The sequence below is a fragment of the Homo sapiens genome, chromosome X (genome assembly GCF_000001405.40).
Source record: "Homo sapiens chromosome X, GRCh38.p14 Primary Assembly".
Classification (NCBI taxonomy): Eukaryota; Metazoa; Chordata; class Mammalia; order Primates; family Hominidae; genus Homo; species Homo sapiens.
Genome location: NC_000023.11, coordinates 44,829,589 through 44,847,811, shown reverse-complemented (window position 1 = coordinate 44,847,811; position 18,223 = coordinate 44,829,589). Strand labels below are relative to the sequence as shown.

The 18,223-nt window shown below is 42.9% G+C and overlaps 1 protein-coding gene across 1 annotated transcript; it reads right to left on the bottom strand.

Moving 5' to 3' along the window:
• Window positions 2,924-3,791, bottom strand: DUSP21 (dual specificity phosphatase 21). The gene has a single exon (NM_022076.4). It carries the CDS (start codon window positions 3,677-3,679, stop codon window positions 3,107-3,109), a length of 573 nt encoding a protein of 190 aa, NP_071359.3. The 5' UTR covers window positions 3,680-3,791; the 3' UTR covers window positions 2,924-3,106.

Below are 18,223 nucleotides of genomic sequence, written 5' to 3'. Positions count from 1 at the left end.
GTGGCTCATGCCTGTAATCCCAGCACTTTGGAAGGCTGAGGCAGGTGAATCACCTGAGGTCAGGAATTTGAGACCAACCTGGCCAACATGGTGAAACCCCGTCTCTACTAAAAATACAAAAATTAGCCGGGCATGGTGGCACGTGCCTATAATCCCAGCTACTGGGGAGGCTGAGGCAGGAGAATCACTTGAACCCGGGAGGTGGAGGTTGCAGTGAGCGGAGATCACGCCACTGCACTCCAGCCTGGGTGACAGAGCAAAACTCTGTATCAAAAAAAAAAAAAAAAAAAAAGACTCAAGGAGGATTCTCCTCTGCAGGTTTCAGAGGGAGCACAACCCTGCTGACATCTTGATTTAGGACTTCTGGCCTCCATAACTATGAGAAAATACATTTCTATTGTTTTAAACCACTCAGTTTTTGGTATTTCTTACAGCATGTCCTAGGAAGCTAATACGAACCCTAGTATTCTTCAACAGGTGGATGGAAAACAAACTGTGGTACATGCATACAATGAACTGTATAACATGGGTGAATCTTAAAGACATTACGCTAAGTGAAAGAAGCCAGTCTCCAGAGGTTACATCCTGTATGATTCCATTTATGTGACATTCAGTTAAAGGCATATCTGGCCAGGCACGGTGGCTCAACCCTTTAATCACAGCACTTTAGGAGGCCAAGGCAGGCAAATCACCAGGTCGGGAGTTCGAGACCAGCCTGGCCAACATGGTGAAACCCCGTCTCTACTAAAAATAGAAAAAGTTAGCTGGGCGTGGTGGCAGGTGCCTGTAATCCCAGCTACTCCAGAGGCTGAGGCAGGAGAATCGCTTGAACCCGGGAGGCGGAGGTTGCAGTGAGCCGAGATTGCGCCACTGCACTCCAGCCCAGGCGACAGTGCGAGACTCTGTCTCAAAAAAAAAAAAAAAAAAAAAGGCAAACCTATAGGGAAGGAAAACACATCAGTGTTTGCCAGAGGTTGGGGTGGTTTGATGGTTTAATTAGAAAGGGGAAGCATGAGGGAAATTTTGGGATTATGGTGATGGTTACCTAAATCTATGCATGTGTTAAAACTCGTGGAACTGTTTATCCACAAAGAGTAATTTCATGGTATGTTAATTTAGATATTTTTAAAAATGAACACACATGCACACACACACACACACACCCAAATAATTTTCTTCTAAAAAATACTTTAAAAGAAAGTTTCCATCTGGGTCGCTGCCAGAAAGGCTGCTTTGTCGGGGCTCTGCCACACCAACTCTTGCATTCTGTGGGCCTGTTTTTCCATCTGTAAAAGTAGTGGATCTGCCTGGAGCAGTGATTTTATCCCCCTTGCCCCCATACTGCACCCTAGGCACTCCCTTTGTGGCAGTGGTGGTGTCTCGATGTGTTTGGAGAGAGAAAACATTTGGACGTCACTGGGCTGTGGACACACAGGTCTTCTTCAAATGGAGCAGTTGTACTTTTGTCTCTCTCTCTCTCTCTCTTTTTTTTTTTTTTTTTGGTCTAAAAACCTCTGGATTAGAATAACTGAACACAAGCCAGAGCCCAGGTATCCAGGGAGTTAGAATGATCCTGGATTCCAGGGCCTATATGTTGGGGGTCACTTGTTCATCCCTTCGGTGAATGCCCCCATGCATCCTGGTAATGAGCAAAACCAGGGTGCTGGCTCTCACGGTTAGTGACTCTAAACAAGTGTTTCAGGGAAGCAGAAATTGTGCTTCTACACGACCCCTTGGATGCACATGGATTAAACACAATGGGACCTCTATAAAGGCTCTAAATCTAGGCCCCCTCCGCTTTGTTTTTTCTTTTTTGAGACGGAGTCTCGCTCTGTCACCCAAGGCTGGAGTGCAATGGCGTGCTCTTGGCTCACTGCAACCTCCACCTTCCGGGTTCAAGTGCTTCTCTTGCCTCAGCCTCCCGAGTAGCTGGGACTACAGGTGCCAGCCACCATGCCCGAATCTAGGCCCATTCTAAGGTAAGGTCCAAAAGGACCTTAAGCCATTTGTTTTTAGATTTTTTGGAAGAACATTTTGTAAATAACAAAGGACTGTGCACAGATGGGGGAAATGCCATTATGAGGATGAGTGTGCTGACCTCAAACCAGGGTCAAAGAGTATCATTGCCTTTTACTCCAAGCATGAAACCATTCATGTGCCAGGTACTATGCTAAGGAACCCAGTCCTCACAACAACTCTATGGGAGACAGTTGCTTTGACAGGTGAGGAAAGTGAAGCTCTGAGAGGACCAAGGTCACAATGAAAGGAGATGTTAGAGGTGACAGGGCTGGGTCATGGCCAGCAGCTCCAGCCTCTTAAGCCAAGGCTCATGAGAGGAACCCCTGAGGCCTGGTGTCAGGCCTGTTCTCTCTCAGTATATGCCCTGGGAAAAGGACTATGTCCCTTTTCACAAAGGCCGGTGGGAGATCACCAAAGACACCTTGAGAACTTGCCATCAAGTACAGCAGTCAAAAAAATACAATATTTTTAAACTTTATGGAGTGGAATGGTCTTTTAAAAAACTAGTTTTTTTTTTTTTAACTAATGTATAAATCCGATCTAGAAAACCAGAGATGGGCCACTGTGATTGAAGGTGGGCAAGGGTAGCCTGAGACTCCTCCAGAGCTCCTGGAGCACAGCTTGAATGAAAGCCACTTATCCACTAGGTTGGCACTTACTGGGAGAAGTGCAAGGGATGCCAAGATGTCTAAGGCTTTGACTTTGGGTTGGAAAGAACCGGGTGAGATTCTAGGGGATTCACTCCTGGGTTAGTCAGCCTCTGGCAGGGCTCAGGATTCCAGGTCTGCCACATGTATTGGGTGCTGCTGGCAGGTCTATGTGAGCTGAGCATTACTTGCCCCACCCTGGTTCCAGCCAGGCCCCAATAGCTTGACCTCACAATATAAAAAATATTTTCACTATCTTATGTTTCATGAATTTAATTCTATTAAGGTAAGGCTTACTACGTTCAAAACTCCAACCCCCTCCCTTTTTTCTTGCCCTTTAACAAGGCACCATCCGGTTTTCTTTACTAACAAAATGTCAGTGTTCAAGTTCAGTCTTGGTGCAAGATCGATGGCAGATGTCAGGGGCTGGCCGGGATGGCTTACATTGATATCATCATACGTAGGTCCTTCTCATAGATGTCAGGGATGTTACCTACCGGCGAGTTGATCATGCGCACGGTGTTGTTATTAAACAGCTTGAATTCGTAATTGATGAGCTGTTCCCAAAAGCCGTTGTTGGGCCGGATGATGGGGCGGCGCGACTTGGTCCATGTATGGGCGTCCAGCAGCGACATGGAGTGGTATTTCATGAGGTACGCAAGGCACAGTGAGGCGGAACGGCTCACTCCAGCCATGCAGTGCAGCAGCGTACGGCCCTGCCTCATATCGATGGTGTGGATAAGATCAGCAATGGGGTCAAAAAAGTCGTAGAGACGCGAGTCACGAGCATCGGTAACAGGCACCTTTATGTACTGAATGCCCTCGAAGAATACGTTGACCACTTCCACCGAGGCATTGACAATGGCGGTGATGCGATTGCTGGACAGAAGGAGTTTGTCGTTGGCGGCCACACCATTGCTGAGAAACAAGCTTCTGGTTATTTGGGAGAAGCTGTAGATGGAGGGCTGCTGGACACCCTGAGATGATGAAAAGGAGGACGCGGATGCTGTCATCAAGGCGGCTGGTCCGAGGTCTCTCTACGCTGGTTCGGGACACAACACTTACCAAGCTAGTTCAGGATAGCAGCCGCGCCGCCAAGTCTCAGGCTAGGTGTTGGAGAAAGAGGACCAGCTATCGGCCACCACCCTCTTTCTGTCTCCTCTCACCACTCCCATCTGGGCGTCACAATCCCGGACAGATAGCCCTGCGGCTCCGGTTTCCATGGCAATGGCCGCTTGCCGCAAGGAGGACAGGGCCTCTAAGCAGGGTCTTCAGAGACACCCCAGTCTCTTTTCTTTTTATCTTTCTTCATAGTCATTTATTTTCCAAGGCCTAATTCTTATCTTTCTTGACTTTTAAAAATGTTCTGTTACAAGATATCTATTTTATGTTTCAATTATTGGACCACGTTAAACAAGATCTATGAATACTTCTATTTCATCAGTGTTGCAGAACAGGGCTTACACTTTCCCTGCAAAATAGCAATATCACATTCTAAGTTGGGGAACAGCATTTGGCTCATGTGATATGCTAATCTCTATAAAACTGGAGCGAGATATGGGATTTGGCTGGGCTTGGTGGACTGGCCTGATACTTCTTTGTTGATTGTAACCATAAAATTATTTTCCTGCTTACAAACACATCAGGGCTGGTTGTAAGAGAGCATTGCTAACTGATATATAGCCCTTTATCTTGAAGTTGGCCTGTGGTGGACAGTTGTGACTAATTTAGCTGTGTCATAGTCCATTTGTACATACAGCTCAAATGACTTACCGCATGAGTCTATTTTATTACCTGAAACAACAGTTCAAATTATTTTGTTTACTTTCTTCAAAAAAAAATGCCTACATGCTTTGTGAACTACAAATCACTTTGACCACTACCGATGCTGTCTTCCCAGTAATATTAAACATTCTGAAACAAGTTAATGCTACATGGTAATTGGGCCAAAAATTGAGACAGTTTTGCTCTGTCACCCAGGCTGGAGAGTCCCAGGCCTCTGCTTCCTGGGTTCAAGTGATTCTTGTGCCTTAGCCTACCGAGTAGCTGGGATTACAGGAACGCACCACCACACCTGGCGAATTCTTGTATTTTTAGTAGAGACAGGATTTCACCATGTTGGCCAGGCTGGTCTCAAACTCCTGACCTCAGGTGATCCACCGGCCTCGGCCTCCCAAAGTGCTGGGATTACATGCACGAGCCACAGCACTCAGCCCAAAAATTAATTTCTAAAATGTAACCTGACATTTGCATTTCCTTCCAGCTAAGATTTTTATAGAATTTGGCTGAAAATTGAAAAGAACTATAGCCTAAAACTAACAAATTGTTTCACAGAGTAGCCAATTGACTCACATACTTTGCTCTCATTCCATCATCATTTTGGTATGTGTTCAAAGGTGTGCTGTGATTACGAACAAAGATGAAATAGATACCAGGCTGCTTATGATGGTCAAGGAAATGATAACCTCAAAACACAACACACGTTTCTTTTCTCAGTTGTCATAATCAAATTATTTTGCATTACTTAAATTGTCAGTCCCCACAAAGCTATCTGGAAGAAAATAGAACACGAATACTAAATAAATATGAAAACTGTTTGTTGGGGGCAGCTCAGCTGGGCTAACGGAGAAGCTTTGTAATCTATGTAGTAATGTGGAGGCCCTAAACTAGTATTGGAGTCTACTTATTTCATAAGTATACACTTCTTAAACTTTAAAACTAAGTACAATTAACAAAATAATTTCAGACACTATTTTCTTTTCTTTTTTTTATTTTTATTTTTTTTGAGACGGAGTTTTGCTCTTGTTGCCCAGGCTGGAGTGCAGTGGCGCGATCTTGGTTCACCACAACCTCCGCCTCCCAGGTTCAAGCCATTCTCCTGCCTCAGTCTCATGAGTAGCTGGGATTACAGGCTCGCGCCACCATGCCCAGCTAATTTTTTGTATTTTTAGTAGAGACGAGGTTTCACCATGTTGGCCAGGCTGGTCTCAAACTCTCGACCTCAGGTGACCCACCCACCTCGGCCTCCCAAAGTGCAGGGATAACAGGCATGAGCCACCGCGCCCGGCCTCAGACACTATTTTCAAAGACAAGCATGACCCGTGTTAAATAGATTCATTTATTTATTCTTCATATTCTGTGACACCTGTTAGTCTGAGGGATGTTGGATGTTTTAAAATTCCGCTATGGAGCTTTTCCTGGATAGATAACGTTTTCTCCCCTTGAGTTTGGAAGCAGGTCACTTTCAGATCCCACTTGTCTCTACTTTTCCTTTTTTTTTTTTTTTTTTTTAACACACTGATGGAGGCAATTTTCCTTGTTATTTAGTGAAGAAAATGTGCAATGGACTTGCCCAATAACACACTCTCTTTCCACCGCTGGGAAAACACCCTGGATGTTAAGAACTAGTTAATGTTCAAATTTCTCAATTCAGTAGTCAAAGCCCTTTCTAATCTAAGCCTGCCTTTCAAATCTCATTCATTCATTTATTCATCAGATTTTTATTAAGAATCTATAGTGTGTTAGGCATTTTCACCTATATAAACCCTCAGTTCTGACCAAACAAAGCAAACGCTTTTGGTAAATACAAAATGTACATTCCTGTTTCCTTACCTTTGCTCATGCCATTCCTCTCTCTTGAGAAGCCTGACTCCTCTCTGCTTCCTGAATTCTATCCGAGCTTCAAGACTCAGCTTGATTAATTTAAAAACGGGATCAACTGAGCATCCAATCTGTGTCAGGTATGGTCCTAGCAGTGTAGATCCATCACAATACAGGGCCTGATTTCCAAGAGCTTATACTTTGGTCAGAGAGATAGATAACCTTGGAAGAGTCCAGAAGAGAGGGTATGATTCATTGTTTTAGGTGAGTGTTTGGGGGCCAGGGGCAGTAGGTGTATGTCATGGAAGGCTTAATAGAAAACGTGACTGGGAAAAGTCTTTTTGTTTTTATTACTTATTATTTATAGTGTCCAAGTTTGTGTTTTGAAAAATATCAAACCTACATAAAAGCTGCAAGAACAGAACAATGAGCATCTGTTTACCCTTCACCTATAGTTCTATTGTTAACACTTCACCACATTTGCTTTATCTATTTTGATATACAGACACACATATTTATTTATTTGCTTGTTTCTTTTTGCTGAAACATTGAGAGTTTCTTGTAGATATAGCAACAATTTAGCCCTTCAGCACATATCTCCAAAGAACAAGTACATGCTCTTCCATAACCACAGTACAATGACCATACTCAGGAAATTTAACATTGGCCCCATATTATCATCTAACACGTAATCCATATTCAAATTTCACCAAGTCTTTTAATAATATTATTTATAGCTGTTTTTTTCTTTTGATCCAAGATTGAATCAAGGATCACACATTGCATTTAGCCGTCATGCTTCTTTAGCATCTTTAAATTTGGAGCTGTTGCTGAGTCTTTTATTTTGTTTCGGTCTTGCTGGACATTGGCATTTTTAAGAGTTCAGGCTAGTTTTGGCCGGGTGCGGTGGCTCACGCCTGTAATCCCAGCACTTTGGGAGGCCGAAGTGGGCAGAACACAAGGTCAGGAGATTGAGACCATCCTGGCTAACACGGTGAAACCCCGTCTCTACTAAAAATACAAAAAAATTAGCCGGGCGTGGTGGCGGGCGCTTATAGTCCCAGCTACTCGGGAGGCTGAGGCAGGAGAATGGTGTGAACCCAGGAGGCGGAGCTTGCAGTGAGCCGAGATTGCACCACTGCACTCCAGCCTGTGCGACTGAGCAAGGCTCCGTCTCCAAAAAAAAAAAAAAAAAAAAAAAAAAGAGTTCAGGCCAGTTTTGCAGAACATCTTTCAAGATGTATTTGTTTGACTGTTCCCTCGGGATTAGATTCAGGTGAAATTTTTTTTGCAAGAAGACCACCAGAGTGTGTGATTCTCAGTACATCGTACCAGGGGCATATGTTATTTGTCTGTTCCATTAATGGTGATGAGAATTTTTTTCTTTTCTCTTTCAATAGCTTTAGGAGTACTAGCGGTTTGGGGTTACATGGATGAATTGTATAATGGCAAAGTCTGAAATTTTAGTGCACCCATCACCTGAGTAGTGTACATTCTTCCCAATATGTAGTTTTTAAATCTCTCCCCACTCTCATCCTCGCCCATTATGAGTCTCCAATGTCCATTATACTAGTCTACATGCCTTTGTGTACCCATAGCTTAGCTCCGACTTATGAGAACATGCGACCAGGCATGGTGGCTCACGCCTGTAATCCCAGCATTTTGGGAGGCCAAGGCAGGTGGATCACCTGAGGTCAGGAGTTCGAGACCAGCTTGGCCAACATGGCGAAACCCCGTCTCTACTAAAAATACAAAACTTAGCTGGGCATGGTGGCGCACGCTTGTACTCCCAGCTACTTGGGAGACTGAGGTGGAGGATTGCTTGAACATGGGAGGATCGCTTGAACCCAGGAGGCGGAGGTTGCAGTGAGCCAAGATCGTGCCACTGCACTCCACCCTGGGCAAGAGAGTGAGACTCTGTCTCAGAAAAAAAAAAAAAAAAAAGTGAGAACATGTGATATTTGGTTTTCCATTCCTGAGTTACTTCACTTAGAATAATGTTCTCCAGTTCCATCCAAGTTGCTGCAAAAGACATTATTTTGTTCTTTTTTATAGCTGAGTAGTATTCCATGGTGTATATATATCACATTTTCTTTATCCACTTATCAGTTGATGAGCACTTAGTTTTGTTGCGTATCTTTGCATTTGTGAATTGTGCGGTAATAAATATATGCGTGTAGGTGTCTTTTTGATATAATGACTTCTTTTCCTTTGGGTAGATACCTAGTAGTGGGATTACTGGATCAAATGGTAGATCTACTTTTAGTTCTTTAAGGAATCTCCATACTGCTTTCTGTAAAGATTGTACTAATTTACATTCCCCTAGCAGTGTTACCTTTTTACCACATCCACGCCAACATCTATTGCTTTTTCAATTTTATTTATTTTATTTTATTCATTTATTTATTTTTGAGACGGAGTTTCGCTCTTGCCGCCCAGGCTGGAGTGCAGTGGTGCATCTCAGCTCACTGCAACCTCCACCTCCTTGGTTCAAGCGATTCTCATGCCTCAGCCTCCCATGTAGCTGGGATTACAGGCGCGCACCACCAAGCCTGGCTAATTATTTATTTATTTATTTATTTATTTATTTATTTATTTATTTTTGAGACTGAGTCTCACTCTGTCGCCCAGGCTGGAGTGCAGTGGCGCCATCTCGGCTCACTGCAAGCTCCGCCTCCCGGGTTCACGCCATTCTCCTGCCTCAGCCTCCCGAGTAAGCTTGGCTAATTTTCGTATTTCTAGTAGAGATGGGGTTTCACCATGTTGGCCAGGCTGGTCTCCAACTCCCAACCTCAGGTGATCTGCCCATCTCGGCCTCCCAAAGTGCTGGGCTTACAAGCATGAGCCACCGTGCCCGGCCTTTACTTTTTAATAATGGCCATTTTGCCTGGGGTAAGATGGCATTTTATTGTGGTTTTGATTTGCATTTCCCTGATGATTAGTGATGTTGAGCATTTTTTCATGTTTGTTGAGCATTTGTATATCTTCTTTTGAGAAATATCTATTCATGTCATTTGCCCACTTTTTAATGAGATTATGTTTTTTTCCTGCTGATTTGTTTGAGTTCCTTGTAGATTCTGGATATTAGTCCTTTGTTGAATGCATAGTTTGCAAATATTTTCTCCCATTCTGTGAGTTGTCTGTTTACTCTGGCGATTGTTTCTTTTGCTGTGCAGAAGCTTATAAATTTAATTATATCCTATTTGTTTATTTTTGTTTTGTTGCAATTGCTTTTGGGGTCTTAGTCATGAATTCTTTGCCTAGACCAATGTCCAGAAGAGCTTTCCTAGGTTTTCTTCTAGAATTTTTATGGCTTCAGGTCTTACATTTAAGTCTTTAATCGATCTTGAATTGATTTTTATACATGGTGAGAGAAATGAATCCAGTTTCATTCTTCTACATGTGGGATCCAGTTTTCCCAACACCATTTATTGAATAGGGTGTCCTTTCCTCAGTTTATGTTTTTATATGCTTTGTCAAAGATTAGTTGGTTGTAAGTATTTTGCCTTATTTCTTGCTTCGCCATTCTATTCCATTGGTCTATGTATCTACTTTCATACCAGTACCACGATAGCCTTGCAGTATAATTCAAAGTGTGGTAATGTGATGCCTCCAGATTTTTTCTTTTTGCTTCGGATTGCTTTGGCTATTTGCTCTTTTTTGGTTCTACATGAATTTTAGGATCATTTTTCTAATTCTGTGAAAAAATGATGTCGGTATTTTCATAGGAATTGTATTGAATTTATAGATTGCTTTGGGCAGTATGGTCATTTTCATGATACTGATTCTTCTAATTCATGAGCATGGGATATATTTGCATTTGTTTGTGTTATCTACAATTTCTTTCAGCAGTATTTTGCAGTTCTCCTTGTAGAGATATTTCACCTCCTTGGTTAAGTATATTCCTAAGTTGTTCGGTTTTTTGCAGCTAGTGTAACAGCAATTGAGGGTTTTTTTTTTTTTTTTTTTTTTTTTGAGACGGAGTCTCGCTCTGTCGCCCGGGCTGGAGTGCAATGGCATGATCTCAACTCAATGCAACATCCGCCTCCCGGGTTCAAGTGATTCTCCTGCCTCAGCCTCCTGAGTAGCTGAGATTACAGGTGCCTGCCACCACGCCCTGCTAAGTTTTTGTATTTTTAGTAGAGACGGAGTTTCACTGTGTTGGCCAGGCTGCTCTCGAACTCCCGACCTCGTGTTCTGCCTGCCTTGGCCTCTCTAAATGCTGGGATAACAGGCGTGAGCCACTGCGCCCAGCTGCAATTGAGTTCTTGATTTGATTCTCAGCTTGGACATTGTTGGTGTATAGCAGTGATTACCAATTTGTATACATTGATTTTGCAACCTGAGACTTTACTGAATTCATTTATCAAATCTACAAGTCTTTTGGAAGAGTCTTTAGGATTTTCTAGATATACTACCTATCATATCATTGGCAAACAGAGAGTTTGACTTCCTCTTTTCCAATTTCTTTTTTTTTTTAGACAGAATCGCACTCTGTCGCCCAGGCTGGAGTGCAGTGGCGCAATCTCAACTCACTGCAACCTCCACCTCCTGGGCTCAAGCAATTCTCTAGCCTTGCCTCCTGAGTAGCTGGGATTACAGGCATGTGCCACCACACCTTTTGTATTTTTAGTAGAAACAGGGTTTCACCATATTGGCCAGGCTGGTCTCAAACTCCTGACCTCAGGTGATCCACCCGCCTGGGCCTCCCAAAGTGTTGGGATTACAAGCATGTGCCACCACACCTTTTGTATTTTTAGTAGAAACAGGGTTTCACCATATTGGCCAGGCTGGTCTCAAACTCCTGACCTCAGGTGATCCACCCGCCTCAGCCTCCCAAAGTGTTGGGATTACAGGCGTGAGCTAGCGTGCCCAGCTCTCTTTTCCAATTTGGATGCCCTTTATTTCTTTCTCTTGCCTGATTGCTCTGGCTAGGACTTCCAGTAGTATGCCAAATAACAGTGGTGGAAGTGGACATCCTTGTCTTGTTCCTATTCTCAGAGGGAATGCTTTCAACTTTTCCTCATTCAGTATGATGTTGGCTGTCAGTTTGTCATATATGGCTTTTATTATTTTGAGGTATGTTCTTTCTATGCCTAGTTTGTTGAGGGTTTTTATCAAAAAGGGATGCTGGATTTTATCAAATGCTTTTTTGCATCTATTGAGACGATCATGTGGATTTTGTTTTTAATTCTGTTTATGTGATGAATCACATTTATTGACTTGCATATGTTGAACTATCTGTGTGAATGATGATAATTTTGACCACTTGGCTATGGTGGCATTAGCTAAGCTTCTCCAGTGTGAATGCGATTTTTCCCCTTTGTATGAATTATTTTATTATTATTATTATTACTTTTTATTGAGACGGAGTCTCACTCTGTCGCCCAGGCTGGAGTGCAGTGGCGTGATCTCAGCTCACTGCAGCCTCTGTCTCCCAGGTTCGAGCAGTTCTCCCACCTTAGCCTCCCGAGTAGCTGGGATTACAGGTGCCTGCCACCACACCCGGCTAATTTTTTTTATTTTTAGTAGAGACGGGATTTGGCCATGTTGACCAGGCTGGTTTTGAACTCCTGACCTCGAGTGATGTGCCCACCTCGGCCTCCCAAAGTGCTAGGATTACAGGAGTGAGCCACCGCACCTAGCCCTCTTTGTATTAATAATTAATAAGGAGTATGTGAGGTGGTGCTTTGAGTTTGTAGGACTATCTTTGGAATAGAACTTTGAAGAATGAAAAGGAGTTTTCCAGTCAAAGAGGAAAGGATATCCTAGACAGAAAGGGAAGCATATGCAAAGGTATATAGGTATGAAATACTGTCAGAAGGACAAAGAACAACTCAGAATTGCTAGTGTATACAGAGTGAAGCTGTAGAAGTCATAGGAAGGTTGGCTAGAGATCCCAGAGGGCCTTTAAGCAGGGACTTGGGCTTGATCCTGTAGGTCAGGTGACACATGAGTTTTTGTTTTTTTTTGTTTTGTTTTGTTTTGTTTTGTTTTGAGACGGAATCTCGCTCTGTCACCCAGCCTGGAGTGCAGTGGCGTGATCTTGGCTCACTGCAACTTCCGCCTGCCGGGTTCAAACAATTCTCTGCTTCAGCCTCCTGAGTAGCTGGGATTACAGGCACGCACCACCACGCCCAGCTAATTTTTTGTATTTTTAGTAGAGACGGGGTTTCACCGTGTTAGCCAGGATGGTCTCGATCTCCTGACCTTGTGATCCGCCCGCCTCAGCCTCCCAAAGTGCTGGGATTACAGGCGTGAGCCACCGTGCCCAGCCCTAATTTTTGTATTTTTAGTAGAGACAGGGTTTCACCATCTTGGCCAGGCTGGTCTTGAACTCCTGACCTCGTGATCCACCCACCTCGGCCTCCCAAAGTGCTGGGATTACACACATGAGCCACTGCAGCTGGCAACACACAAGTATTTTATGCAGGGAAATGGCATCATCAGAATAGAATTTTAGGAAGCTCACTGACAGCTATGTGGATGAATTTGTAGAGAGAAGGGGCGAAGTGAGAAGAATGGCAATACTAGAGGGAGTGAGAACTATTGCAGTAGTCTAGGTGAGCAATGAGATACATCTGTTACAGACTCTTTCCTGACATGGAAGCTGGATCAAATCCAAATATATTTCACCTAATCAAATGTATACATGGGCTAGGCCACATAAGAGGATGGAATACCAAACTTCCTATGGATCAGGCTCTGGAGAGTTTGATGTCCTGAAAGGAGAGTTAAGGCAAGAGGTTGAGGTTGCAGGTAATACATTTAAATTGGAGGGTGGCGGTAAGGAGAAAACCTGAAGGTGTATAGGGTGAGGGCACAGGAGAGCCATGTAACTAAAGGGAGCTGCATGTTATGCTGTCCAACAGACAGGTAAGATGGGAGTTGCCCAGCAGAAGGCCCTAAGGCAGAGGTGGCAGTTGGCCTCCCTGAGTAATGATCAAGGGAGGGTTATGTGTGAATTTCAGAGGAGGGGCTGGGTCAGTTGCAACAACATATAGAGCCGGCAGGAAGCCAGCTCCACTAGGACTTGTTGCTGGGCTCAGCCTGGTCCTTGGTTTATGGACGGTGAGTGGGGAGACAGATGGATATGAATATGGAAGTCTTTAAATAACACCCTCTAGTCCTGAATACAAATAACATGAGAAAATGATTGTTGCTTATTTGTTAGGTGAAAAAAAAAAACAGTTTATAACAGACTAGATACATTTTTGTAAAGGCAAAATATATATGTGTGGGTATTTGTCATTACATGTACATATCGTATATATTAAACACCTAGCTATGAATCCTATTTATGGAAATATTAGGTATCTGAAGCAGCTCTAGTTATGGAGTAAGAATTCAATTTGTTAAAGTTTTTTTCATTGTCGGTTTTAACCGCAATCTGTATGATTAATTCAAATTAAGACAGAATTTTATTTATTTAAATTGACAAATGACAAATTGAGCTGGGCATGGTAGGTAACACAGGGAGACCCCGTCTCTATAAAAAACTTTTAAAAAAATTTTAAAAAGGCCGGATGCGGTGGCTCACGCCTGTAATTCCAGCACTTTGGGAGGCCGAGGCTGGCGGATCACCTGAGGTCGGGAGTTGGAGACCAGCCTGACCAACATGGCGAAACCCCGTCTCTACTAAAAATACAAAAATTAGCCAGGCGTGGTGGCGCATGCCTGTAATCCCAGCTAGTCGGGTGGCTCAGGCAGGAGAATCGCTTGAACTCCAAAGACGTAGGTTGCGGTGAGCTGAAATCTCACCATCGCAATCCAGCCTGGGCAACAAGAGCGAAACTCCGTCTTAATAAATAAATAAATAAATAAATAATGAAAGAATTAGCTGAGTGTGGTGGCATGTACCTGTGGTCCCAGCTACTTTGGGAGGCTCAGGTGAGAGGATTGCTTGAGCCCAGGAGGTCGAGGCTCCCATGAGCCATGATCGTGCCACCACACTCCAGCCTGGATGAAAGAGGGAGATTGTCTCAAAAAAACCCCCACACCCAGCAATTTGGGAGGCAGAGAGGGGCGGGTCACTTGAGGTCAGGAGTTCCAGACCAGCCTGGCTAACATGGTGAAACCCCGTCTCTACTAAAAATACAAAAATTAGCTGGGCGTGGTGGTGGGCGCCTGTAATCCCAGCTATTTGGGAGGCTGAGGCAGGAGAATCGCTTGAACCTGGGAGGCAGAGGTTGCAGTGAGCCACGATAGCGCCACTACACTCCAGCCTGGGCAACAGAGTCCATCTCAAAAAAAAAAAAACCCCACAAAAAAATGACAACTTGTATATATTTATGCTGTATAACATTGTTGCGATATGTGTAAACATTGTGGAATGATTAAAGCATGCTAATTAACATATCTATCACCTCACGTATCATTTTTGTGAATGCTAGATACTATTTAGTATTATATTTGAGTGGTAGGATTCAAGGGAATCCTCCTTTTTTTTCACTTGTCTATATTTTCAAATTTTCTTTTCTTTCTTTTCTTTTTTTTTTTTTTGAGAAGGAGTTTCACTCTTGTTGCCCAGGCTGGAGTGCAATGCCACGATCTCGGCTCACCACAACCTCCACCTCATAGGTTCAAGTGATTCTCCTGCCTCAGCCTCCCAGGTAGCTGGGATTACAGGCACGCGCCACCACGCCCCGCTAGTTTTGTATTTTAGTAGAGACAGGGTTTCTCCATGTTGGTCAGGCTAGTCTCAAACTCCTGACCTCAAGTGATCCACCTGCCTTGGCCTCCCAAAGTGCTCGGATTACAGGCGTGAGCCACTGCACCCGGCCCTTATATTTTCAAATTTTCTAAAATAATGTGTGCTATTTTGTAATGAGAAAAAAGAAAGAATCCAAGTGTTCTTAAATGTTATCAACAAATACTATTTTCTTTTTTGCCAATAAAATTAACAAAGTTGGGCCGGACGCAGTGGCTCACATCTGTAATCTCAGCACTTTGGGAGGCCAAGGCAGGCTGATCACCTAAGTTCAGGAGTTTGAGACCAGCCTGGGCAACATGGCAAAACCCATCTCTACTAAAAATAAAAATTAGTCAGGCATGGGCACCCCTCCCCCACCATGCTATAATCCCAGCTACTCGGGAGGCTGAGGCAGGAGAAATGCTTGAACCGGGGAGGTGGCAGTTGCAGTGAGCTGAGATCACGCCACTGCACTCCAGCCTGGGCAACAGTGAGACTCTGTCTCAAATAAAATGAAATAAAATTAGCAAAGTTGAAAAACTGATAATACGTGGTGGTGACAAGAATTCAGAGAAATGGGTACTCTTATGCACTGTCAGATTTGAAGGTGGGGTACAGCAACACCGGCCAAACCATGTGATGATCATATAAATCAACAAAAACTCTTATGGCCTTGGTGGGAGAATAAGGAGGGTACTACCAATTTGGCAATATCCAGTAAACTGACAGTGCACATACTCTATCCCCCAGCAGCTCCACCCCAGTTAGAAACTCTTGCTCATATACACAAGAAGACATTTACAAGAATGTTTATAGCAATGTTGCCTATAATAGTGAAAAAGTGGGCCAGGAACAGTGGCTCACGCCTGTAATCCCAACACTTTGGGAGGTCAAGGGGAGGGGGGGTGGATCACAAGGTCAGGAGATCGAGACCATCCTGGCTAACACGGTAAACCTAGTCTCTACTAAAAATACAAAAAAAAAAAAAAATAGCCGGGCGTGGTGGCACGCGCCTGTAATTTCAGCTACTGGGGAGGGTGAGGCAGGAGAATCACTTGAACCCAGGAGGCGGAGGTTGCAGTGAGCCGAGATCGTGCACTGCACTCCAGCCTGGGTGACAGAGCAAGACTCCATCTCAAAAAAAAAAAAAAAAGAAAAAGAAAAAATGGAAACAATATAAATGTTCACGAAGAAGAAAATTAAAATTTGATGGCATAGTCATATAATGAACACCACACAAACAGCTATGAAAATAAATGAACTAGAGCTACATGTGTAAACCTGTAAGCCTCAAAAGTGTAATGCTGTAGAAAAAGAGCAAATCACAGGAGAATATGTGCAGTAAGAAGTTTAAAGACAAGAAGAACAGTACTATATATTGTTTATGCATGCATATGCATATACATGTATAATATATAGCAAAAGTTAAAAACCCTGCATGGGTCTGAGGAACACAAAATTGCGGATATGATTCCTCTAGGGAAAGATGGGCTCTGGGAGGGCTAGATAGGATGTTTCAATATGTCTTAATACTTTATTTCATTAATAAAATAGATCTAAAGCAAATATGGCAAAATGTTAAGGTCTGACAAACTGCATGTTGGGTATATGGGTATTTATTATCATATCCAGTAGACTGTTAGGACTGCTTGAAACATTTCTTAATAAAAATGAATGGGGAAAAATGTACATATGCTTTGAGCTAGCAGTTTCTCTGCTGGTAATTTATTTATTCTAGGGAAACCCTTACAAATGTTTGCAAGAGATTTACCTACCAACACCTTTATTGTAAGTATTATTTATGATATAAAAAATTGGAAAAAACCTAATCTAGCAATAAGGGCTTGTTTAACTATAATACAACACCTCCATAGGGTAAAATATAATGCAGATCTTAAAATGATAACCTAGAAGAATATTTATGGATACAAAGAAAAATTCACAATATTTTGTTAAGAAAAATACTATAAAAGAGTTTAATCTCAATTTATAAAATAAAGTAATATCTATCTATATATGTAGATTCACGAATAGAAGAAAGCGAAGAAGGAAATACACAAAAATGTCCACAATCATTGTCTCTGAGCAGCGTTATTGTAGAAGCTTTGTATTTTCTGGATTTCTCCCACATATATATAATAGATACGTAACAGTTTATAATTAGAAAACTATATGTTTTTAAAAGATACCAATAAGATGGTTTTGGTGGGAGATAATATGGAATTAGACAAAAAAGCAGCAACCGCAGGATGAATAAAAAAAGAGACAAAATCAAGAGTGATGAAGAAGGTATAATCGACAAGAATTTCTAACAGATTAAGAAGGGAGGAGAAAGGAGAAATATCATGATCACTTGCTGGTTTCTGACTTGGGCGCCTGGGCAGCTAATGATACCATTCCCTGAAATAAGAAATGTACGAGGGAGATCAGATCCAGCATGAAAGATGAACGAGGAGTACAATTTGGAACAGGATGAGATTGAGAGGCCCCAGGCCATTGTGGCAAACAGTGTGGAGCTCCTATCCTGTATTCACTCCCTCCTGTCTACCTTTTAACAGGAGCCCCTTGCCAATGACTGGTTTAGGAATGGGCAACTAACCAACATCTGGCAAACGATATGCTAGAGAAAGTCTACTGGAAGTTCCTGGGAAAGGTTTCCTGGCTCCTAAGAAAAAGACAATAGTACTAGATGCCCCTCTTTCTTCCTCTGAACATGTCATTTCTGGGTGTGATATCCAGATCTTGGTAACTATCCTGCAGCCCTGTGGCGAGGTAACCTGAGGGCAAAGCCAGCAGAAGGGAGAGGTGGGAAGCATATGTGTCCTTGACAGTGTTGACAGAATTATTTATTAACTAACCCCAGAACTTGCTTATCTCTAGACTCCTTGTTATGGGGGATAATAAACCCTTATTGCTTATGCGTTTTGAGTCAGGATGTTCTATTGCTTGCAACATTTATCTGAAGTAATATAGGCAATTCTGTGGAGGTGTCCAGAGGTAGAACAAAGGCTTTTGAGAGGAAGACTTGCCTGAAGTCAAAAGTAGCAGAGTCTTAATCCTATTTACAATCTCGGATAAGTTGTTTGGTGGATTTTATTTTATTTTATTTTGAGAAAGGATCACCCAGGCTGGAGTGCAGTGGTGCAATCACAGCTCATTGCAGCCTCGACCTCCCAGGCTCAAGTGATCCTCCCACCTCACCCTCCCCCATAGCTGGGACTACAGGCATGTGCCACCACATCTGGATAATTTTTGTATATTTTGT